Here is a 24197-nt window from a genome sequence, read left to right as displayed (position 1 = left end):
CAAAGGCTGGCAAACGCCTTCATTTCCTACAAGTTACATGCTGCATGGGGCACATGGGTGCTCAAGGAGACAGTGGGCCTGGGTAGCCTACGAGAATCGTGGCTATGAGCACTGACCCTAGACTCAGACCCTGCAGGTGGAAGCCAGCTCTGCTCCTACTCACCATGAATGTGCTTAGGACATTAGAATGCTCTGGCCTCAGTTTCCGAATCTCTAAAAACCAGACACTGATACCTAATTCATTATGGATGAGACAGTGCCCGTAGAGAGCTCCTGTGAGGCGTGCCTGGGCCCAGAGGTTGAGCGGATGGCTGTTACTATTGGAGGGTTACAGCAGGCTTTGGTTCCCACTGGATCCACCGAGAGCTCTGTCCTTCACCGCAGCCAGCAAGACTGTCTTCGGTACACAAGCACCATCCTGCCTCAGGAACATGACGTTGCATCCAGACATGGTACCAAACTGTGTGCCTCCCAGTCTAGCAGAGGCTTCAAAGCCATCAAGCCCAAACCCCACCATGCTCCCTGTGCACTGAGCCATCCCTACACGGTGTGGGAGACAACTTAGTGTGGGGCCACCGTATGGGTTAACCTGGCTGTTCTCTGGCTGGCTGCAGTCTGCCAAAGTAATAAGCAGCAGTGAGAAGTTAAGTAAACATCACAATGTAATTAAGTTGCTATGGCAGTAAATCTTAGTGACTCAGGTTCAGAAAAGGAGTGGCTCTCAACCAGGGGCAGTTGTCCCCTCCGGGGAACACTTGCTAATGTCTGGACACAGTTTTGGTTGTCACGACTAGGTAAAGGTGTAACTGGCATTTACTGGGTAGAGGCCAGAGATGCTGTAAGCATCCTGTACAATGTGCAGGACAGTCCCACAACAGAGACTGCCCAGCCCAAAATGTCAATAATGCTGAGGTTCAGAAACCTCGACACAGCAGCAGCAATGGCTGGTGCTTGTTGGAGGAGGAGGGTGGCTTAACTAGAGTCTTGAAGGATCATGAAAGTTAGAAGAGCAGGCAGGAGAGGGGAGCCTTCCAGGAGGGGTCCCAGCACAAGCAAGGATGGGAGGGAAGACTGTCTGAGGGGTAGTGAGCAGGCTGGCTCAGCTGGAGGGGCGTCTGTGCAGGTGATGTGTGGAGGGCGTGTGGGGTTTGCTCTCCAGGCCTAAGCAAATCCTTGGGCTTCCGCTGAGAAACTCCCCATCCCTGTCCTTGTGGTGAGGAGGGACTTTCAGTCAAATGACAACACTGTCCCTGAGTCCAGGGGGTAACATGTGGCCAAGACAGGACCATCCTGTCCTCCTGTGGGGACCTGAATGGTGAACAGTGACACATGAGTGGATTCACCATGATGGCCACACAGAGGACCCAGGAGCTGCCCTGATGTCCCCAAGCCCCGTGAATCTGGCTCTTCATATTTAATTTTCCTACAGACTTAACCCATTTCTTCCTATAAATGTCTTCAAAAAATTAAATCAAGGAATCCAGAGTCGGTTTCCATTGCTTGCACTCGAAGTTGGATGGGGGTCTGTGGCTTGGGTCTTCCTCTACCTTCCTGCCACATACCTTCTAGTGCCTGGACCCTGACTGTGGGGACAGTGGAGTCTGCCGAGCAGATACACACTCCACTGAATTATGGGACTGTGGTGTGTTGTGCACTGATGTTTGCAAGACACACACACACACACACACACACACACATACACAGAGGAGAGAGGACACATAGGGACAGCCAGGTTCACAGCAGACACTGAGCAACCACTTTCCTTTCTTCCTTGGTAACAGAGCCACACTTTTGTTCACCCCTCCAGTAGAAAACAATGTGCTGAAGGAAGGTGGCCCTGCCTCAGCCCTAAGCAGAGCAAAGTGATTGGTCAGTGGTTCAAAGCCAATCACAGTAATCCTCTCCCCTTTGCTTGTGATTGGTTTGCGAGTAGGCCTGTCATCCAGTTCTATTAATAGCTAATGGGACCTAAGAGACATCTACTAGAGGCTTCCGGGAAAGCCTTCCCAAGCCACACAGGAGAAAAATCTCCCAGCTCTCCTTCCCTTCCTCTGTTCTGGACACAGGCTGGTGATGCTGGAGCCACAACAACCACCGGAAACCCCAAGGCGAAGACCAGAGAATCCCAGAGATGCAGACAGAGACTTCCTAGAGCTACAGAGTAAGCCAAATTGGAGTTGCCTTTTCTGGACGTCTTGTTAAGTGAGTAAAAAAAAAAATGCCTTTGTAATTTAAGCCTGTGCTTCTAGAACTTTAATATTCAATAGCCTTTTCAACAAATAGTGTCAGAAAAAAAATTGGGCATACATAGACAAAAAATTAATCACACCCTGTCACACATGATACAAAAATTAACTCAAAAATGGATTTTGGACTCATAATGTAACACGTAAAACTATAAAACTTTTTAAAAAAATACTTAGGAGAAAATCTTCAGGACCCAGGGCTAGAAGAAGAGTTCTTAGACTTGACACAGAAAACACAATGCGCAAAAGGAAAAATTGATCAACTGGACCTCAATAAAATTTGAAACTTTTGCTCTGCGAAAGGCCTTGTGAAGAGGATGAAAAGACAAGCTATGTACTAGGAGAAAATATTTTCAAACCACTTATGCTACAAAGGATTTAATACCTAGAATAATATAAAGAATTATTAAAACTCAACAGTAAAAAAAAAAATCCATTTAGGAAATGAGCAAAAGACATGAACAGCTATTTCACCAGTGGTGATATATGAATGGCAAGTAAGTACACAAAAAGATGTTCAACATCATTATCCATAAGGAAAATGCAAATTAAAATCACTAAATACCCACATGAAAGTGGCTAAAATAAAAAATAGTGGTAACAGTAAATGATGACAAGGGTATAGAAAAATTGGATTGCTCATACAATACATTGCTGATACACAGATGCTCTGGAAAACAGTTCAGCAGTTTCTTCCAAAAATTAGACATGCGCTTACCACATAACCCGGCATTTGCACTCTTGGGCATTTGTCCCAGAGAAATGAAAACTTGTATTCAGATAAAAATTTATATACGAATAATCATAGCAACTTTGCTGATAATAGTGAAAAACTGGAAAACAACCCAAATGTCCTTCGATGAATGAGTTAAACAAACTGGTGCATCTCTACTATGAAATACTATTCAGCCATGAAAGGGACCAAGCTATTAATACCTGTGATGGCATGGATGAATCGCCTGGGAATTAAGCTCAGTGAAAAAAACCAATCTCAAAAGGTTATGCACTATATGACCTCACTTAGATTTTTTTTTTTTTTTTTTGAGGCCGAGACTTGCTCTATAGCCCAGGTTGGAGTACAGTGGTGCAATCTCGGCTCACTGCAACCTCCACCTCCCGGGTTAAGGCGATTCTCCTGCCTCAGCCTCCCAAGTAGCTGGGATCACAGGCACCCGCCATCACACCTGGCTAATATTTGTATTTTTAGTAGAGACGGGGTTTCGCCATGTTGGCCAGGCTGGTCTTGAACTCCTGACCTCAAGCGATCCGCCCACCTCGGCCTCCCAAAGTGCTGGGATTACAGGCGTGAGCCACCGCACCCAGCCACTACAGCATTCTTTAAATGACAAAATTATCAAAATGGAGAGCGGAATAGTGGTTTCCAAGCATTAGGAGTAGAGGAAGGAAGGAGAAGAGTATAGCTATGTAGGAAAACAACCTTTTGTGTGGCAAGAGTGACACCATCTTGAAGCAAAACCGCCATGATGACCAGTGTTTGACTCTTGCATACTAAGGTGCTCTCATAGTGTAGATAACCTCTCATAAAGGGAATTGAACAATGAGAACACTTGGACACAGGGTGGGGAACATCACACACCGGGGCCTGTCATGGGGTGGGGGGAGGGGGGAGGGATAGCATTGGGAGATATACCTAATGTAAATGATGAGTTAACAGGTGCAGCCCACCAACATGGCACATGTATACATATGTAACAAACCTGCACGTTGTGCACATGAACCTAGAACTTAAAGTATAATAAAAAGAAAAAGAAACAATGCCTATAGCATAGATAACCCCTCATAAATATGTTTATCTAACCTCCTTAGCGGTCACAAGTGTCACAATCTGAGGTGTGAGTAGTTGCACGTATTTTACAAAAACAGAAGCTTCCTATCTAAAGGATATTTTCTGGAGAGTGGGTGTAGGGATCCACAGTCTGGCAGCCACCTGAAATATCGCTTTAGTAGGTCCCTACTAAATGTTTCTTTCATAGAAGCTGGATTTGTCAGCTTCTTTCTTCAGCCTCTCAGCTTGCTGGGCCTTTGGGGAAAGGTTTACATAGACCTGCTCTTCATGGAACAAGCTATAAAAGGACAGCGTGAGGAATGCTTAGGAAGGAACTGTTTTCAATCTTAATGGTGGTGGTCACATGAATCTAAACATGTAATAAACTTTCAAAGAACTAAATACACACTAATTAGTGCATATAAAACTGGTGAAACCCGGGTCAGATAGATGGATTGTATCAGAGTCAATATTTTGGTTGTGAAACTTTACTATAATTAGGAAGATGGTATTATTGGGGGGAAATGAGTGAAGTGCATGTGAGATTTTTCCTATTTCTTACAATCACGTGTGAATCTAAAATTATTTAGCCAAATTTCACTAAATTTTTTGTGGCTCCATGAATTAATGTGGGGAACCCATTTCCTGAACTGCACGAAGGCGGTTAAATAATGTATATTACATATCAGAAATCAATTCCTTCTGGTATTGTGATTTTTTTTTCAAACAGGAAAACGTAGCAGGGGCGTTGGGGAAGATTTGGAATTAATATGTAATTAGATATTCAGCCAGGTAGAAAGCTTAAGCAAAATAAACTTGACTCTAAGTAATTAAAAAATTTAATATGCATATGAATCACCTGGGTCATCTTGTTAAAAAGAGAAAAGCAGATTCTGATTCAGTAAGTGTTGGGTATTACCTGAGATTCTGCATTTCTAATGAACTGATATTGCTGGTTCATGGAACCCATTTTACGTAGCAAGAAAATAAGCCACTTTTAGCTGCATTTTCTGTTAGTTGCCGCCAAAAGCATCCTAACTCTTTTGACCATTTGCATATTAGCCCCGCCCACTGGAGGAGCCCAGAGTCTTATCTTCCCACCAATCAGATTCACCCTCCACCTGTGGGAGGAGCCAAGAGACAAGTGGTGGGGAGAAGGCCGTCCTTTTTCCAAAAGGCAAGAGTGCTTCCTTGTATTGTGAGCCTGGGTGAGAGAGAGAGACCGAGGAGGATGGAGGTACAGCCAGAAGGCAGGGACAGATGCTGATTTGGGGATGTTCTGGGTCTCCAGGTGCCTCTTTATGGTCTGTTTATGAAACCCAGACGCCCTTTCAGTGAGAAGCAATTCTGCCATGTTTATTTTTTGCGGGGAAAAGAAGCCACAAAACCCAAATATTTATATCCACTGTGCAATCTTCTCCAGTTTCCAGGCACATCTTCCTTTTCTATATCTTGGAGAGCATTTCAAGCCTCCTGGAATTTTTCTTCAAGGAGGGGCCTCAGGGCCACTGCTGCAGTGTGACTCACTGAGCTGCCAGGAGGCCTGGGCTTCCTTCCTGGAATCAGGGATCCCATGTGGGCCTCTCAGACCCAGCTCTACTGTGAAGTTGAGAGCTTCAAGTGGGTCTTCTAGGGAGGTCAAGAGGCAGAGGGAATATTGGAAATGGCTCTGCCACTAGCATGCTCTGTGTCCTTGGGTGAATGATTTGGCCTCTCTGAAAACCAGTTTCTTCCCCTGCGAATGGTAGGAGTTGCATCAGGTGATTTCTTAGGATCCTACCTGCTCTAAGTGTTTCTTGGTCTCTAAATTCTCATAAACAGGACTTAGCTTAGGTTAGTGCTCTCCATCTTGGCTGCATATTTGAGTCACCTGAGGGACACTAAAGATACTAAACCCAGATGTTCTGATCTGATAGATCTGGAGTCCGATGTGGGCGTCAGAAATCTTTAAAACTTCCCAGGTGTCACTAACATACAGCCAGGGTTGAAAGCCACCGGGCTACGCCTGATTTTACAGAAGAGGAAACTGGGCTCACATCTCTGGTCAGCAGGTCAGCCACCTGTGGAATCCAGTGACTCCCGCTTACAGGTGTGGGACCTCACAGCCACCCTCTGCATTCCAGCACATCCCTAGGACCTGGGGGACATTGCACCTTTCCATTCTTCAGTAATCTTCTCCTCCATCTCTTTCCCTCTCCACCCCGCCCCTCGCTCTGATGAGCTAAATCTTTCTCAAGTAGCTTCTGCCTCTGTCCTGTGAAAGTCCCTGCCAGGAGGAGTCGCCACACCTGTTTACCTCCATGAACTAGAAGGAAGGAGGGAAATACAGGCAGAGACATGCAGAACTCAGGGTCTCCCATGTTACTCTGCCTCCCACCCAAAGCACCTTGCTCCAGGTTTGTCACAGGACAAGGGGAAGCTGCTGTGAGGACACTGAGGGTGACGGAAAAGTTGAAAAAGAAGGAGGAGAGAAATAGCACATCTGTATTTAGACATTATCCCTGGATGCTTCTTTGCATGTTAGGAAAGGCTCACTACAATCTAGTCATGTTTAGCCCTTTAAGAGCCCTGGGATAGTGAGTCCAGAGCCAGCACTGGGGGCTTTTCTCCCAGCCCCTTTTCAAAGTCATGTTGACCTTTGAGCATCTCCTGCCCCAGGAGAGCGCTGCAGCCGCTGCAGACAGCATGAGATGCTTCTCTATGTGGGCTCAGCTTCACCCTTCTGTGCTCCTGAGGATGGAGGACAGAAAGTGGTTCTTCCTCCCTGGCAAGCATTTCCAGTCTCTGAAGACTCTCTGGGGAAAGAACACGAAGGGGGAGAGGCTTCCTAAGTCCCTTCACTGGGGGCTTATCCGTGACCGACGTTCCTGGGGAGACATACATTTCATCAGTCACTTTCCATCTCACTCCACTCTCCCTCCTCCTCTCTGCAAGCTTACACTGCAGCCCGATGGAATTACACACAGTGCCCTGCATATGCCAAGGTTCTTCCACCTCTAGTCATGCTGCTTCCTGTCCTGGAACCCCCTTCCCAACTCGATCCTGCTGAGCAGCCTGGGATCTGTGTACGGGACGCCCCTCAGAGTCACCCAGACACAGGGGAAGCTGGGGTGTTTATTTCCTGCCTGTCAGTCACCAGTGCAGGCCTGCTCCTGGGGCACTCACCCCAGCATCTCCAATGCCAGGCAGCTCAGAGAGCCACTTTCCTGTCCAAGCAACCCTTAGAGAACATTCCCAGGAGGAGCGAATGTCCACCTTGTGTGGCATCGTCCTGGGGCGCTCCTTCTGGGGGGGACCCCAGTCCCTCCTGCCCTTCCAGCCAGAATCCTCCTGTCTCCTGGGTGAAAACTGGAGCCCGGGTTCTAGCTCTGCTGTGTCTCTCAGACTCTGGTGAGTGTCAGAATCTTCTGGAGGCCTTGTTAAAACTCCGATGGCGAGGCCCACCCTAAGGTTCCAATTCAGGAGGTCTCAGCAGAGCCTGAAAGCTGGCTTTCCCAGCAGGGCCCCGGGGTGCTGATGCTCCTCCCCCTAGAACGACCCCTGAGAGCCCTGGCTCTCCACTGGGACCTGCTCACCTGGAGACAGTGACCACAGGCCACAGGTCACCCCTCACCGCTTCACTCCACGCCCTCTCTTGTGACCTCATCTCCTCTCACCTCCCCCTGGGTCACATGGCTCCAGCCACACCCGCCCCCCTGCTGTTCCTCACCCAGGATCACCAAGGTCTCTCCTGCCCCGGGGCCTGTGCACCTGCTGTGCCTCTGCTTGGGATGCTCTTCCCAGGGCTCGCCCACCTCCTCAGAGAGGCCTCCTGACCCCTGACACGGCCTTGCCCTTCACCTCTATCGTCCTTTAGAACAGCCCCCACCTCCCGCACATCATGCAGTTGCCGGTTCAATGGCTACTGCTTGTCCTCCAGACTCGAAAGTAACCTCGCAGTGGGTGGTGGGCAGGGGGCGTTGTTTTGTTCCCTGCCCTGTCCCAGCACCCAGAGCAGTGCCTGGCAGGGGTGGGTACTCAGTACACACCTGTTAGCAAGTGACTCTGATGCAGGGACCGTTCTCTCTGATCTCTAAATCCAACTTTCTTATGTTGTAGTAACAATGTTGAATGTTGTTCCATACATCATCCATTTTCTTTTTTGACTTTTAGATCATAGTGCCTTAGAGAACAACTGGGCAAAAAATGGACTTTCAGACACGGCAGGTGCTCAGGTCCAGCCCCCACCCTGTGGCCCTTCAGGGACTGCACTCATTTATTTTTCTCTTTCTGGCTGTCCGCGAGCCAACAGCTCTCTCCTGGCTTTAATTTTCATCCATTTAAGTTGAAAAAAAAAATCAAACAAATGAAATGCACTTAAGAGAAAGCCTTGAGGAGTTAGTGAGCCACCTGAAGTGAACGGACTCCTTTCAAGGCGCTATCAATTGTTGTTATCAATTATTTATTGGGCCATGTTTGTTCCTGGTGCCACCAAGACAGAGAGGAGACAGGGTCCCTGCCCTGAGGCATCCCAAAGAAGAAGGGAGCATTTGTGAAATGAAAAAATGTCCCAGATGATAAGACAGTTACCCGTCACACCTCAAGGCTGCTCTATGCTTTTATTATATTTTTACTCTTAAGAATGTTCACTTATTTTCTGATTTTAAAAAGTAATTGAAAAGTTTATAAAATATTCCTAGAAATAGAGAAAAAATAAAATCTAACTCCAGTGTTTTTAATGCACATATAAAATCTACTTGGTTTATAAAATTAGGATTTATTCTAAATGTTTAATTTAGTTAGTTTGGAAGTTTTGTTAATTTACTCATCAGATTCTGCCTTGAGTTTTCTTCACATTATACCATGTTCATTTCTTCAGGCCATCAAGCAGCCTTCAAAAACATAAATTTCATTAGTTACAATGTATTTCATATAGATATACGATAACTGCCTTCACCAATCTTCTATTTCTGGACAATACAATTTTTATTTTTTTTCTTGTTTTGCTTTTGGTTATTATAATCAATATTCCTGTGAATATGCTTAGTTTAGAAAGCCTTGACTCGCTGTTATTATAATTTCAGTTTATAATCAGGAAGAGGGAAAGCCTAACTCTAAGGTTGAAACTAAATCTTAAAGCTAGTGACACAGCCTCTCTGAGCTTTGCTGTCCTCTTCTGTCCTATGGTAAGAATGATACTGAGGTCCTAGGGAGCTGTGAAGCATATGCTGTGAGACAACACAGCTGAGCAGCCCAGCCAGAGCCCCCTGGGGAAGCCGTCAGAGGTCAGCCGCTCCCGTCTGCTTCCCTCTTGACTCCTAATAGGCTGGGACAGAACTTTGCCCTCCCTTCTTCCTGTCCAAAAGACGCACAATGATAATGATGCTGATGGTTATTTAGTAAGAAACTTCCCAACAGGAACAGTTGTCAGGAGGGGGCACAGTTGGATTCTCTCCAGCAAAGATGTCAGGGTGGATAGAAATGTCAGCGTGATCCAAAGAGGACACAAACACTCCTGTTATTTTGTTGTCACCATAGAAAGGCCAGCTGTAGGTTTGACGAATGTTTAGTGAAAGAAAGTTTGCAAAAGTCAAAAAGAAACTGACATAATGATAGCCAAACAGGCTTTCTCTGCATTAGAAGAACTCAATAGGTCCTTGCACGTCTGATTAGAGCAAAACAAAACAAACAAGCAAAAGCTCCCCTGATGCACAGAGTTAGTGCTCCACTGAACTAGACCAGAAGAGCTTGTCCTGCCCCTTGGAAACAGGGGCCAACATGATGCGGTGGGCAAGGACCCATCATCTGACATGAAGATGCCCTGGGGGCAATGGAAAGCATGGTGTGTCCGGAGAAGATGGCCCTGACGGCAGGTGCATTCGGGTGCTAGTGAGTGCTGCAGCATGTTGGGTCTCTAGTTTTGTATCAGTCAGCTACTCTCACAGTCACACTGTGTAACAAACCACCCCCAAACTCAGTTACAAACGATAGTACTTATTTCTCATTCTCATGTCCACAGGTCTGATGGGGTTCATCACATCTGAGCCAGGACTGGCTTTTCTTGGCTGCAAGCTGAAAGTTGGGTCCAGGTCTGCTGTACTGAGGGTCTCCTATCTTCCTTGGACAGGGACAACCAGAGGCCTATTTATCTCATGATGGAAGGCAGGAGAACAAGCAGGCAAGACCAGCTGTGCTAGCACATGCCACCTCTTTGCCCACGTCACACCTGCTGACGTCCCATTGGCCAATGCAAGTCACACAACCAAAGCCAACATCAACAGGACAAGGAAACAGACTCTGCCTCTAGATGCACAAACTACAGAGTCACGGACAGAGGACACGGATCCAGGGAAGGAAGATGGAGAATGAGAACAATGACCCTCAATAACACAGCCTCCCACAGGTTTCCAAATCCCCAACCCAGGCATATATCCAAGGAAATGGAATCATGGGTTCAGGTTTTAGAGCAAGCAATTTCTGCTCTCCCTGCCTAGTTTCCACACCCTTAACACAGGGGCAATGATGTCACATCAAAACATATCATACAAATTTGTGATGATGTTTCAACAACTAAACACCAGAAAAATGCTTAGGGCAGGGCCGGGTAGGAGGGGCAGAAGCCAATAGTAACTTAACATCACTGCTAACCCACAAAGTTCTGGGAATTTCTTTGAATGTCTAATTAGAGAACCATGTCCCCAAGAATTAACATTTCTTTTGCTTTTTTTTGAATCTGAGAAAATACTAATTGTCACAGGGTAGAATATTTATCTGATGAGCATATAGAAGTTAAGGGCTCCTTGAAATCACAGTGCTAGGTTTGGGTCTCATTCCTCCTCCTACCTGCCTCTCTGAGCCTCAGTTTCTCATCTGTAGAATGGGTACAATCCCAACCTCATGTGTTTGTGGCAGTCAGGGTTAATTGGGCTAATGATTCTAAAGTGCTCTGCGCAGGCCTGGCAGGTACTGAGCAACCTTGGGCCATAGAGAGAGCACTGACTTGGGAGTCAGGAGCTGGGACCTCAGGTCCTATTCCCTGGGGATCCGGGAAAAGTCCCTTGGCTTCCCTGAGCTTCATCTGCCCCACGTGCTAGTGAGGTGGCTAGACCAGTCAGGCCAAGGACGTCCCTGCAGCTATCTAACTTCTCCTTACTCCCTGTTCAGCAAAGGGCAGGAGCTGGGCCTGGCCAGGCTCCCACAAAGCCCAGGCGTGGCCGTGCTCAGCTCACGACGGGTGTGGGGGATGCGTTTCTGCCCTCAAAGGACTGAGCTCCAGTTTCTTTCTTCACTGAGTCCTTTACTCTCTGCCTGCGGGTGGTTATTTAAGACATCTCCTGCCTGCAGGGGCCTCTTAGAGAACAAACAGATCGTTCCTTCAGCTGCAGTGCAGGCTTTACTGGGCTTGTTCCTGCATCAAGTAGACAGATCCTTCCTGAATGGAGTCGCCCCACAGGCCCCACACTCGGAGAGGGGCAGCCAGGAGCCTCCGAGGCTCTGCCCAGCCCGTCCTGAATGTGCTCCCTGCCCTGAGTGGAGCGCTCACAGCTCCCCGCATCAAGGTTTCTGTCTCCCCAAGGATCTTCCTCATAAAAACCCTTCTTCTCCCAGATCCCACAAACCGACATTATAAAAAACACAAACACCCAATAAGCACCATGTAAATTGATCACATACAAATAATATCCAAAAATAAGAACTCGTATAACCACTTTAAACTATAGAACATGTCTGTTGGGATTTGTGGGAGATCATGGATCACAGGTTCCCCCTGCTCCTGGTTCAGCACTGTGAGAAATGGAAGTGAGGTTCACCCAGGGACGGGAAAGCGTCAGCTGCCACTCATGAGGCTGGGGGGCAGGGGAAGCCCTTCATCCGTGGACACAAACAGGCATCCTAACATGACTTCCATGAGCAGAAGTGGGCAGACAGGGCTGAAAAGCTGACCTTACAAGGCTGAGGACCTGCCTTGAGCTCTGCCTGACTGCAGAGAAGGAAAGTTCTCTTCTTGCAACCTCAAATCTTCCAGATAAGAACCAAACGACATCCGGCCTTTGCGTTCTCTCCACCAGCTCCCGGCTCACCCACCCAGCAGCTCAGCACCTGCGAAATCCGTCTCCCGATGCACACTTGCTAACCGCGTGGGTGTGAGCACAACGATGGGAAACAGCGGAAGTCCCCGGAGTGCAGACTCAGGAGTGAACCTGCCTGAAGAGTGGCGTCTAACGCACACACTGTGGTCAGCTCCACCCCACTATGGGTCCCGGGAATAGGAGCAAGTATGTATTTTGCTTGCAGGGCAGGTGTTTCATCCACATTATTGCAGGAACAGATGAATTTAATTAAAAGAACACCACAGTGGGCACCTCTTCCAGGGATGCCTCCCTCTAAGAACATGACACTGAGATGATCAAGGTTCTAAAAGGGCGATCAAATCACTCTCCGAAAATGAAACTGCTCAGACAGAATGACAATTAAATTAATAACAACCAAGACAATGCCCAGATTTCATCTCCGCTCACAGCCCCTCCTGTGTGCTGTATGATCAGGTTCTTGGGGGTGGCTCCAGATACAGCAAACAGTCAGGATTAATCCACAAGAGTGAGCTGTCAGCATGAGGTTCCCCTACAGTGGAGCTTGCCAAGGTCCGTGGCTCCCAGGGCACCCGTTCCAGGGCTAACAGATGAAGCATGGAAATGCTGTGTGGAGTGAGCTGAGCAGCCATTCTCAGGAGAAAACAGACAAATCCTCCTGCACCCTGGCAAACCAGCTTTGTGGCCTGTTTTATGTCATCTTTGCTGAGCTCCACCGGGTCACCCCTCCTGCTGGCTTTGTGATATTGACATTTCAGGCACTGGCACAGATACATTGGCCTTCCTGGCTGGGATTTCACGGACGGAGTGAGCAGTGCTGGCTTGGAGGAGCCGTGGCGGCACAGGGCCTGTGCCCTCAGCTGATCAGTGCCTGTCCTGACCCCAAAGGGCCCTCGCAGCACTGTTTGAAATTGCTCTTGCCATGTTTGGAACCGATTCCTCGGTACGTTTCAGACTCATTGTTGTGACTTTGGTTTCAATCCAGGGACACACCGTGGCCAATGGAGTGTCTCAACAGCATCTATGATCGCTGTTTCCCAGAGACAGCATCTCAGATACCGATGCTGAAAGAGAAACAGCAGCCTGTCCCCAGGTGGCAGGAAATAGTCCATTTTAACGGCAATTTCATAAGTGGCAGATGATTTTTATTGTAATTTTCTGGTGAGCTGATTAAGTGGAGGCAGAGTCAGTTCTGAGGCGTCAATGTCTTTAACAACTCGGGGAGACCGAGGCCATGCTCAGCAGGAACACTAAGTCCATGGAAAACAGGCCCTGGGCCCGCTGATGTGCATAATTCCACGTTTGCCCCCCATGTAACCAGGATGGTAAATTACAGGTGTCAGATAATCACGCTCTGGAGTGGCTACTTGAGGATGCGATCGACCAATTTAAGCTCCGTCTGACACATGATCAATAGCCCGTGATGCTGCATGGAATTGCAGGCACAGCGTCCAAACCTGCAGAGCAGTGGCTCCCAGCTGTGGCAACTTTGCCCCCCAGAGGACATTTGGCAATGTCTGGATATGTTTGCAATTGTCACAACTAGGAGAGGGGGATGCTATTGGCATCTGGCGAGTGAGGCCAAGGATGCTGCTAAACCTCCCATGATGCACAGGAGAAGTCCCCACACAGACACATCCTGCGCAGACTGTCCATAAAGCTTAAATGAGATGCTCTGACTTAGAGCCACAGTGAACATTCCATTCCATCGTCTGGGTATCTCCAGGGATGTACGTAGCTGGATGTCTAGCTTTTCATCTGGGTATGACCGGCCTCACGCAGAATCAAAACCATGTGTAGGTCGAATCTCTTATTTGCTCTCCTGCTTCCTTTCATTGTAATATTCTCCTTCTCATTAGTATTTTCTGTTATTGGAGGAATGGTAAGAAAACATAAAATGCTGGAGAGTTACGATTTTGTTTCTGTCAATAAAAAAGTAATTTGCCAGTGACTCATAAAAAGCAGAAAATTAATTAGAGAAGACATGAGATCTATCAAAAAGCTGATCAGGGTGGCTCACGCCTGTAATCCCAGCACTTTGGGAGGCCGAGGCAGGTAGATCACCTGAGGTCAGCAGTTCGAGACCAGCCTGACCAACAAGGTGAAATCCTGTCTCTACTAAACACATGAAAAAAAAGTTAGCCGGGCATGGTGGCAGTTTCCTGTAGTCCCAGCTACTCCAGAGGCTGAGACAGGAGAATTGCTTGAACCTGGGAGGCGGAGGTTGCAGTGAGCTGAGATCGCGCCAGTGCACTCCAGCTTAGGTGACGGAGTGAGACTTCGTCTCAAAAACAAAACAAACAAAAAAAACTGATCACCTCAGGAGAGCAGCAGAGAGAAGAGTCCAGATGGGAGCTGGTCAGTTTCAGGAGAGTGCACAGAGCAGGACCTCGTGGGACTGGCCTAGAGCTCCTCAAACTAACGTCAGTTCAGCGGGTGCAACTAGCATTTTAAAACATTAATCACAGAGTTGAGTAGAAAATATCAAAAGGTATCAGTATTATTTTGTGAAACTTTATATTCATATATATGGGGGGTGTGTGTCTCTGTGTGTGTGTGTGTGTGTGTGTGTGTGTGTGTATGTACCAGGTTCCATTGTAAAATAATTTCTTATGATGGGTTGTGATCAAAACAGCTTGAAAAACACTGGAGTGGCTTCACTGACGGAGGATTGAGAAATAATTAAGTATCTGTAAGTAAACTTTGCAAATAAAAAGAACAAGAAGGCCAGGCACGGTGGCTCATGCCTGTAATACCAACACTTTGGGAGGCTGAGGTGGGCGGATCACGAGGTCAGGAGATCGAGACCATCGTGGCCAACATGATGAAACCCCGTCTGTACTAAAAATACAAAAATTAGCCAGCATCACGTCTGTAATCCCAGCTACTCGGGAGGCTGAGGCAGGAGAATTGCTTGAACCTGGGAGGCAGAAGTTGCAGTGAGCCAAGATCATGCCACTGCACTCCAGCCTGGCGACAGCGAGACTCCATCTCAAAAAAAAAAAAAAAAAAAAAAAAACAAGAAAATTACGAACTCTAGGAAAAATGAAAGGTGTGTAAGAAAGAAAATATTATAGTACTTCGCTCTGCAGAGAATAGCATTTACCTGGTCACATGACATAAAGGCTGATTATGATGCAATTAAAAATAGTGATGTATCATACAGCGTGGCAGGAAGGGAGCTGGTGGGTGGTGTAAGAGCTAACTTCTCATCTAGCTTAGCAGACATTAGATAACACTAGACCTTGAAAGCTCTATGAATAGCTTCCCTGGCTTCCTCTTTCGTTTCTTTTCTTTTTTTCTTTGAGACAGGTCTCACTCTGGTTTCCCAGGCTGGAGTGCAGTGGTGCGATCTTGGCTCACTGTAGCCTTGACCTCCTGGGCTCAGGTGATTCTCCCACCTCAGCCTCCCAAGTAGCTGGGACTGCAGGCACACACCACCACGTCTGACTAATGTTTTGTCTTTTTAGTAGAGACAGGGTTTTGCTATGTTGCCCAGGCTGGTCTTGAACTCCTGGAATCAAACAATCCACCCGCCTCAGCCTGCCAGAGTGCTGGGATTACAGGCATGAGCCTCAGCACCTGGCCAAGCTTCCTCTTTCAGGATTCGGAAATAATGTGCGGAAACAGCTAGAGGATTACTTGTGGATGTCTCTGAGAAGAGGTGGGCAGGGAACAGACAGATTCAGTGGTGTTGCATTTGATGACCATGTATCTCTTTATTTAAAAAGGGACCATTCAGGACCAGTGAGGTCACGGTGGTGTTCACTGGAAAGACACCAGGGACCCAGGTGGCTCTTGGCTCTGTGACTTTGAACAAGTCCTTCTCCAGCTTTTGACACCAGTTGACCAACCTCTAAAACAAAGAGGCTCGGCCAAATTATTTTGACTTGTCCTTGGAGCCCTGTGAATCTGTCTCACCGTGGAGTGACTTGGGAGTCTGGGCACCACCCACCCCGACTCTATGTCAAATACCGTGCACATCTCAAGCACAGTGCCTGGCTCAGCACAGGCAGCAGGAAAGCTGTGTGGGTGTGCCTCAGGGTTGGTGGACACAGTAGACAGCCTTTGCTCTCCCAAGATGGGGGAGGCCCTGTACCATGACTTAGGGAACTGCTCATGCCTAAGCCCCCACCCCCTCCACAGTAGTGCAGAAAGGATGCTCTCCTAATCAGCTAATTTTCACAAAATGTGGGATGCCCTGGTGGGATCCCCTGGTAGGAGAGTAGATGACTTCCAGGAGCACATAGAGGGGGCAGAGGCTGCGGGCTGACCCTTGATACCCCTCATCCCCTACATTTCACATTGGAAATCCCAAAGTTTAGCTGCCCGGACCAAAGCTGAATTTCCCATTCTGCCTTGCAGCTGGTGTGTACCTTCCCAGTGTACCCTTAAATGAATGGGTACGCTCCACTTGCCCTTCTCCTCTTCCCTCCTGTCTGATGTGACTTGCACCTCCTCGGACCAGGTAGACAAAAACAGCCTTTGTCAATGACAGATCACAGGACTGGAGTGTCGAGGCTCAGCCCCGGGAGCTGCCCAACCAGCCAGGGGGCCCCCACGCCGGGGCTGTCACATGGGATAGAAGCAAACCTCTGGCTCGTGAAGTCATGGGTATTTTGGGGTCTGATGAATTTACTTACAAGTAAATATGGGAAGTATATTTTTATATCAATAGTTATTTATTCACTTCAATATCCATTGGAGAAAAATATCTCAACTAGTGGATTCACCCCTGCGATTCCACTAGGTGAACCCACCAGCAATCCTGGGGACGCTGAGGACCCTCCCTCCTCAGCACATGGCCCTCCTGACTGTTGGGGGAGCCAGCATGAAGCCCCCGTCGCCGACCGGCAGGCCCGAGCTCCTGGACTCAGCATTGACCGACACTGACTCTGTTCCCACAGCAGCCGCTTTGTTCGTCTCCTTTGTGGACACTTAGCTCAGCGCCTGTGCTGCTCGGCTGTGACCTGACCTTCGAGGGTCACCTCCTGAATTCACTCGCTGTGACCTGTGCTGCGGACCCCGTCAGGAAGCTCCTGGTCTCCCCCGGCCCCTCCCCCGCCTCATTTGCACAAAAGGCCTCATTGTTCTGCAGGGTCTGACTCAGACCTGCCCTGGTTTCAGTTTCCGCAAACACCCAGCACTGGCTTTGGGTCAGGGGTCACTCTGGAGTGAACGGGGCGCCCTGAGCAACCCCACATCGCTGTGTGATCCCGGCTCATCCACAGGAAGCCCCGGCCCAGGGACCCAAATGGGTCCCAGAAGTGGACCAGATGCAGCGCCGACGGTGATGTGGGGACGCCGGCATCTCCAACAGTGGGAAAGAGGAAACTTTCTACTTTTCATTAACCCCGTCCTCTTCTCCCCCAGGGTTACGGGGACACAGTGTCTTCACTGGCCATGTTGGAACGTTCTGGGGAGTGAAGGGAACGTCCCCAAGAGCATTGACTTGACCTTCGCTTTGGCTGAGATTTGAAATTCTCTTCTTATCAATCTCTATATCTGTACACGCAGGAGTCTGTTTTACATCCAGCCATCCCTGTGACCTCGGGCGAGTTCCTTACCTTGTGTTTTCTCATCTGTAAAGTGGGTATAATGACCACCGCACGGCCTCGCATGCTTGTCAGAACCAAATCAGACAATGCACGAAGACCCGTTGGCCCGGAAAGCTGCAGCTGGGCCCTGACGATGCCACGCTGTCCATCTGGGGAGGGGAAGTTCATTGCTAATTCGACTCAAAGGAGGAAAAATGCACGTCCCCCTGAGCTGAAAGAAGGAACGAAGCCAAGTCCATCAGGCCACCGGGTCTCCTTAGGCTGAGGAAATGGACAATGAGGGCGACATCGAAACTGCAGAGAGCAGCAAAGCCCTTCACTACTGCTGCCCGAACCCTGCAGCGGCTCCTACAGCCACCACGGGTCACTGGGCCAGGAGCAAGTTGGGGAACAGCCACATCACCATCCAGGGAAGCCCCCGGAATGGTGGATTTGCTAACAGCAGCCACACAGACACCTCACCTCACGCCAGGCTGCTGAGCTCAGCGGGGGGCACGATTGCCCAAGCAGGGGTGGGGCAGGGCAAGGCAGACCGAGTCACACGGTGGGAAAAGCCAAAAAAAAAACCTGCCTGATTTGGTAAAATGCCAGAAAACTGCGTGAACTGGGCATTTGAAAGTAAGTTTTTAAGGCGTAGCCATTTGTTGGGGTTTTTTTGCCCCGTACTCTCCTGTCTCCCTCCTCGCCACACAATAAACTGTGTCCAAGGCAGCCGCCCTCCCGCTGCCAGGACGTGCGAGGCAGGAAGGTCAGGAGCTCTGCTGTGAGGGCGCCACCCGGCTTCCGGTTTGTGCATGAAAACCCGGCTCAGCTTTTCCATTCCGTGAAGACTGGGCTTCTCCAGGCTGCTCGGTAAATAATCACGGATTCCACTGGGAATAGGAAACGTCCCCACAGCCCCATCTCCATTGTGCACCCAACCTCCAGGTGTTTTCAATCTCTCAAAGAGCCCCGACGCCTGAAATTTAACAACTAAAATCTTATTTTTCATTTCCTGAGATTCTCTTGGTGGAATCAGGCAGCCTGGCGGTGCGCAGCACCTAGGGTGGCTCATGATGAAAAATCCAGAGGGGACTTTGCCTTCCTGCATGTCCTTTTGTCACCAGAACCCAGGGACCAGCAGGACCCAAAGCTCCCTGCGGGATCAGCTGGGTCTGGGAATCACTGTCCTGGGCCCAGTTGGACTTTTCGGATGAGGCCGGTGTTTGGCACCTGGGCTGGGCAGGTGGGAAGGACAGAGGCACTGATGGAGAGAGGGAGGAGAAGGGGATTCATGGCGGTCCTGGGGGAACCCCACGGGTGCCTTTGGCCTCTCCCTGGTCTGTCTGCCCCTCAGGATGGTTAAACTGTCCCCTGAAAGTTCCCCATTGGGCAAGTCCAGCAAGCCTGAGCCAGGCCTGTGATCTCAGGGTGGGTGGAGCTCTAGAAGGCCTGGCCCTCGCTCCTGGAGTCCACATTCACCCTCAAGGCAGTGAACGGCGCCCCACTGCGCATCTACTCACTAACCAGGCATGGGATGGTTTCCATGGTTCCTGTGTCTTAGACCAGCTCGCTCACGGTGACATGAGATGCCCTGAGACCCCGCCATGGTGCAGAGTGACATTAATGCATTAAATTAGCAGCCTCTGCAACACAAACACATTTCCATGTGGAGCCTGTGACGTTCTTTGGTAAAAGGGATCATTACGTGTTTGCAAACATTCCATAAGCTGAGGAAGGGCCTCAGGTTCTGACAAGTGATGAATGGGAAAATTAGAGGCTTCAGGAAAATGCAAATATCATCCTTTGTAATTCTGTCCCTTGGCAGGAAATAAAAAAAGGTTTCCCCAAAGCACCGAGGCATTCCTTCTATTAAACGCCAGGAAGAATGGCTGTGACTCTTTCAGGCACTTGCACGGATCTTGATTTGTCTTCCACAGCCTCCCCAATGCCCTGGCAATGTGTGGGAGAGAAGCCTGTGATTTCAGCGGACTGTCCTCTAATTCAGCCTTTCTCACCTTTAATTCATGATCAACCCCTAAGGAACCTTCATAGAGGTTTTTTTCTTACTCACCCCCACCATGAATTTAATACTACAGAAATACCGCAAAATGGTTTATGCACTGTGCCTACATCTGTATTTTTACATAATGAGAGAAAAATCTTTTCACCTCCAGGAACCAGCTCTGGCCCTCTTGGGAGCAGTATTCCCCGCTGAGGAAGCATGTGCTCATTCCTTCTTTTGTTCATTCGTTCAAATGTGCAGAAAACTGTGTATCTGGTGTAAATTCTGGGCCCTGGAAGGAGGTGTGGGAGCTGCCTGGGGCCTGGGGGCAGAGCGATGCAGGAGAGGGGATAGCGAGGACAGAGTCCAGAGACACGAGGGGAGGGATGAGGCTGAGGAGCAGCCAGGAGCCCCGTGTGGCTGGGGCCAAGGGGTGTTAGAAGATGAGGCCAGAGGGGTGATGAGTCACAGTGGGGCAGAGAGAGAGATGGGTCATCTCAGGCCTTAGGCGACCCTGTGAAGACTTCAGCTTTTACTCTGAGGGAAGTGGGAGCCATTGGAGGGTTTGAGCAGAGACAGGATGTGGTCTGGTTTACTTTTTAATGGGATTCTGTGTCTGAGGACAGGTTGGGGGTGTGGGGCAACAGCTGGAGCAGCAAGACCAACAGGGAGGCCAGGTGGAGGTGATGGTGACCGGAGCCATGTGGTCAAAGTGGAGGAGGTGAGGGAGTCCAATACTGCAGATCCCTTGCAGGTAGAGCTGCCAGGACTTGCTGATGGATGAGAAGCGGAGTGTGGAAGGCAGGGAAGAGTGGAGGATGACTCCCAGGTGTTGGCCTGAGAGCTGGGAGGGTGGGGCTGCGATTTACAGAGATGAGGAAGACTGCGGGAGGACTGTGCTCTGACAAGGCCCTCTGCTGACTCTGAGAGACACAGGAGAGCGGGACAGAGAGGATGAGGGTGACTCTTAGTAGATTTATTACATTCTCCCAGCAGATCCAAGTACATAATTTTCACAGCCTGTGCAAAATGAAAATGTAGGCCACATGCTCAAAAGCAAGAACAAAATGTCATTATAGGTACTAAAATAAGAAAGCTTTTGCTTTCTTTCTGCAGTCTGTCTCTTGACCTGTCATGGTGTTTATTATTTGCTACTCAATGTTGCGTTCCCTCGGATATGACGATGTTTGTAGGGTAGCTCAGACCCCCCACAGTCAAGCCCTTTCAGGGGCAGAAGGTGAAAGCAGTCACCAGCAGGGTTATTCTCCTGAGTAGCATCTCCAGGGTGGCACCTTTTCAGTAGCCTTTTCCAAAGGAATGAGTTAGTATGACAGTTGTCACAACTTCAATGAAAAGCAGCCAGCGCAATGGGAGATGGGAGAATGAACCATCAGTGATGGGAATATGAGACACCTGGGGAAGGTCAAGGGCTAGCAGATCCTTTATATGGGCTCAGCGCTTCTACAACCTGCAGCAAGGTTCAGCCCCCACCATGGCCCCTCTCCACAGTGGCCCCGCCTTCATTCTGGCCACACCCCCATCCTGGCTACGCCCCTGCATGACCCTGGCCCCTGCCTTGTTTGGCCCTGCCCCACTTTGGCCCTGCCCCTGTCAAAACCATGTCCGTCTCCCCCCAGCAAATCTGGTCACACCTCCAGGCTGTCAGGCATCATTGTGGCTAGGGTAGACCCTGACAAATAGCTTTCGGGAGTGAATCTCCTCTTTCTATGTAGATGAAACCTGTCCAGGCAGGAATTCTTGCATTTCTTCCCCAGCCCAGCCGCCTCCTTTGTGGACACCCTGGAGGCCTCCTCGTGGTGTATGTGGGACAGGTGGGCTCCGAATCACTCAACAGATACCTACTGAGATTTACTCTGTGCCCAAGTTTCAGGTCCCGGCCCCAACGGTGAAGGAAGCGGGCAAAGCGCCCTCCCTCTGAGGTGACGTCTCCAGGGCTGGTCACAGGGACTCCAGGGCCATGAGCACATGGTTGACCACTCTGCAGATTAGCCCACCCCAGTCGTAAGCTCCTGGAGCAGCTCCCGGCTTTCTGGGTGGTTTCTACCCCTGTGGGGTGATTTATAACCGAAGCCCAGAGAGCGAGAGGTTGATGGGGGGCCTGTCCCGTCCCCGTCTCAGAGAGGCAGGAACTGCTTAGAGCTCCGTGCGCGTGGGACCAGTGGCTCCGACAAAGCCTTGGCCAAACTCTGCTTCCCGATCCTTCCCCTCACCCAGTCGCCTCCTTCCTACAGCATCTGCGGATGCTCAGCCCCAGGAGATGTGAGCTGCTCGGGGACCGCCCTGAGTTTCTGAGAGTCCTGGGGGCGATGGCACCTGGGTCCTGTGCAGATGACACTGGAGAGCCTCGAAGGCTTTGACTCGGGCTGAGCGTGGGGGTGGGCACGGGGCATGCTCAGTCCTGACCCCACCATCGCGGCCCGGGGGACATATGATGGGGGTTGTGTCCCCTCAGAAAGAGACAGCAGGTCCCGCTGTGAGCACACGCTGAGAAGAGACGGTCCAGCCTCCACCAAGTGGAACCCTGAGCCCAGAGGGATGGCCCTGCCCCTTCCACTAGGTCTGGCCAGTCCTGTCTGTGGGTTTCCATTGTCAGCTGTGAAGGGGACTTGAGACTCACAGGTGGGGTTAAGCGGAGTGACGGGAAGGTTAATTCTGGATGCACAGGGAATCTGAAGATGGAATTGTGAAACATTCATGGATTTGCCCCAGTATTCCAGCCACCCATGCCTGTGTGGGTCTGTGTGTGTGTGGGGGGGGGGGGGGAGGGGGGCAGGGGAGGTATGAGTGTATGTATGTGTTGGTACTGGTGTTGATGGTGTATAGTTCTCTCACTTGGGACTCTTGCCTCCCAACCAGATTTAACACAGATTGAGCCCACATGGCCTAGTGGTTAAGAACATAGTCCCTGGAGCTAAACTGCCCAGGCTCAAGTCCCAGCACTGCCCCCTGAGCAAGTGCCTTGACCACTCTGCCTCAGCTTCCCCATCTGCAGCATGGGGAGCTTAGTAATAGTGCCGTATCTCATGGGGTTGGTGTGAGGACTGAGTGAGATCATAGATACAGGGCACGGGGAATAGTGCCCGGTGTGTGCCAGCTCCCACCACTCTGCAAAGAGGACACATCCTGCCTCCCCACGGCCAACTCACACCCAACAGCTGCTGCATGGACATGGATAGAATGAATCTGCTATTCTCTGGGGACCTCCATGCACCTGACTTCAGCCTGGCCTTCAGGGGTCTTTCTCAGGATGAACTCAACTCCATTCATACCTAAAGGAATTCAAGCACTGACTGGGGATCTGCTGGGTCTTCACTGATGAGCACTCCAGAGGAGGCGATCTCAGGTCAAATGTCCCTTTCTGAGAATTTAGGGGGGTGGTAGACTGGGGAAGGTAAATGGGGACTTGAGCTTATCTTTAATGTCTTGGTTTTCTTACAGGGAAATACATGATATATTACTTGTGTCGTGAAAATTAATTTTAATTTAAAAATCAATTTCATGCAATACAGATTTCACCATAAAGTAACATAATTTTTAATTTTTTTGATTGAGATATTTGACAGTAGGCACTGCATCATCCTGAAAGAACCAACTTTACAGTAAACAAATTTTAGTCCCTTAATAACGAGATCAGAAATAGCTACAATGCCTGCCCCTCCTGCTAACAGTTATTCAGGGCTTTGCTCATACCAAAGCTTTGCCTCTCATGACCTGTTTCCATCCTTATGACAATGCAGCAAGGTTGGAAGAAGAGGAGTATGATTGTTTCTCTTTTGCCAAAGAAGATGGAGTGACTTTCTCCCTGCAATGGGTTCCTACTGAAGGATTACAGCAACAATTCACCAGGCCCTTCTTCACCTGACCCCAAATCTCCCAGCACAGTAGCCCATGGCCCTGTCCCTGCCCCCAGCCCCAGCAGTGGGCTGTGATTGGCCTGATGCAGTCAGCTCTTCCCACTCTCTGACCTTGACTGATTCAAGAATGGGCACCTGGCCCAGGTGGGCCAGTGAAAGGTAAGATGTTGCCTGGGAGCCCTGGCTTTTCCATGGTTTGCTCTGGACAAGGTGGATGGGATGCAGCTCTTAGAACCACTGCAGCCTTCTCTGCTACCACAAGAAAAGCCAGTCTGAAATCATGACCCATGAGAGAGGACAGTCTGAAATCATGACCCATGAGAGAGGACAGTCTGAAATCATGACCCGTGAGAGAGGAAAGAACCAAGAGAACTTCAGGGAAACTGAGCCACAGCCTGATCCAATCATTCCTGATGCTGTTTATCTCTGGGATTTTTGAAGGCTGGAGCCCATGAAGCTCCCTCCTGCTCACACCTGTTTGCACTGAGTTTTCCATTCCCTGCAACCATAGCTCTCTATCTGATTCTGGCTCTCGTGTCGCATGATAGTAAGGGGTAGATTATTAAGCCAAGACCTTCCCTGGCTGGCTCTTTGTGTGCAATACGCATCTTCTTACAGCCAACCTGGTTCTTTACATCTAAACTTCAGAGTCAGACGAGAGACCCTAGAGGTCATCTAG

The 24197-nt window shown here is 49.4% G+C and overlaps 3 long non-coding RNA genes across 4 annotated transcripts in view, besides 5 other annotated features; 1 reads left to right on the top strand and 2 right to left on the bottom strand.

The window, feature by feature from the left end:
- Window positions 1-3751, bottom strand: part of LOC107985436 (uncharacterized) — a 34006-nt gene extending 30255 nt beyond the window's left edge. The window contains exon 1 of one of the 2 annotated variants that reach the window (XR_007067623.1): window positions 3685-3751. This is a non-coding gene — a long non-coding RNA (uncharacterized LOC107985436). Of the gene's footprint in view, window positions 1-163; window positions 621-3684 lie in introns of those variants that run through there. The other variant, XR_007067624.1, reaches the window with a different exon arrangement.
- On the top strand, window positions 692-10716 carry LINC01522 (long intergenic non-protein coding RNA 1522). Its single transcript, NR_110027.1, has 3 exons — window positions 692-794; window positions 2067-2202; window positions 10031-10716. It is a non-coding gene; the product is annotated as a long intergenic non-protein coding RNA 1522 (long non-coding RNA).
- LINC01523 (long intergenic non-protein coding RNA 1523) lies at window positions 6496-7583 on the bottom strand. The gene is made up of 2 exons (NR_109942.1): window positions 7288-7583; window positions 6496-6827 (listed from the first exon to the last, which is right to left on the bottom strand). It is a non-coding gene; the product is annotated as a long intergenic non-protein coding RNA 1523 (long non-coding RNA).
- Window positions 7201-7700: an enhancer, noted in NCBI's record as "H3K4me1 hESC enhancer chr20:46611853-46612352 (GRCh37/hg19 assembly coordinates)". NCBI's record gives its function as "activates a minimal SCP1, AML or CMV promoter by ChIP-STARR-seq in primed H9 embryonic stem cells {active_cell/tissue: H9 hESC(primed)}" and the evidence as "EXISTENCE:reporter gene assay evidence [ECO:0000049][PMID:30033119]".
- Window positions 10634-11608: an enhancer, noted in NCBI's record as "OCT4-NANOG-H3K4me1 hESC enhancer chr20:46607945-46608919 (GRCh37/hg19 assembly coordinates)". NCBI's record gives its function as "activates a minimal SCP1, AML or CMV promoter by ChIP-STARR-seq in naive H9 embryonic stem cells {active_cell/tissue: H9 hESC(naive)}" and the evidence as "EXISTENCE:reporter gene assay evidence [ECO:0000049][PMID:30033119]".
- Window positions 15444-15563: a silencer, noted in NCBI's record as "silent region_12982". NCBI's record gives its function as "represses an Ori minimal core promoter by ATAC-STARR-seq in GM12878 lymphoblastoid cells {active_cell/tissue: GM12878}" and the evidence as "EXISTENCE:reporter gene assay evidence [ECO:0000049][PMID:35858748]".
- Window positions 19629-20128: an enhancer, noted in NCBI's record as "H3K4me1 hESC enhancer chr20:46599425-46599924 (GRCh37/hg19 assembly coordinates)". NCBI's record gives its function as "activates a minimal SCP1, AML or CMV promoter by ChIP-STARR-seq in naive H9 embryonic stem cells {active_cell/tissue: H9 hESC(naive)}" and the evidence as "EXISTENCE:reporter gene assay evidence [ECO:0000049][PMID:30033119]".
- Window positions 20129-20630: an enhancer, noted in NCBI's record as "H3K4me1 hESC enhancer chr20:46598923-46599424 (GRCh37/hg19 assembly coordinates)". NCBI's record gives its function as "activates a minimal SCP1, AML or CMV promoter by ChIP-STARR-seq in naive H9 embryonic stem cells {active_cell/tissue: H9 hESC(naive)}" and the evidence as "EXISTENCE:reporter gene assay evidence [ECO:0000049][PMID:30033119]".

This window comes from Homo sapiens, chromosome 20 (genome assembly GCF_000001405.40).
Source record: "Homo sapiens chromosome 20, GRCh38.p14 Primary Assembly".
Taxonomy (NCBI): Eukaryota; Metazoa; Chordata; class Mammalia; order Primates; family Hominidae; genus Homo; species Homo sapiens.
The sequence above is the reverse complement of the archived record's forward strand: the minus strand, read 5'-3'. Positions and strand labels throughout refer to the sequence as shown.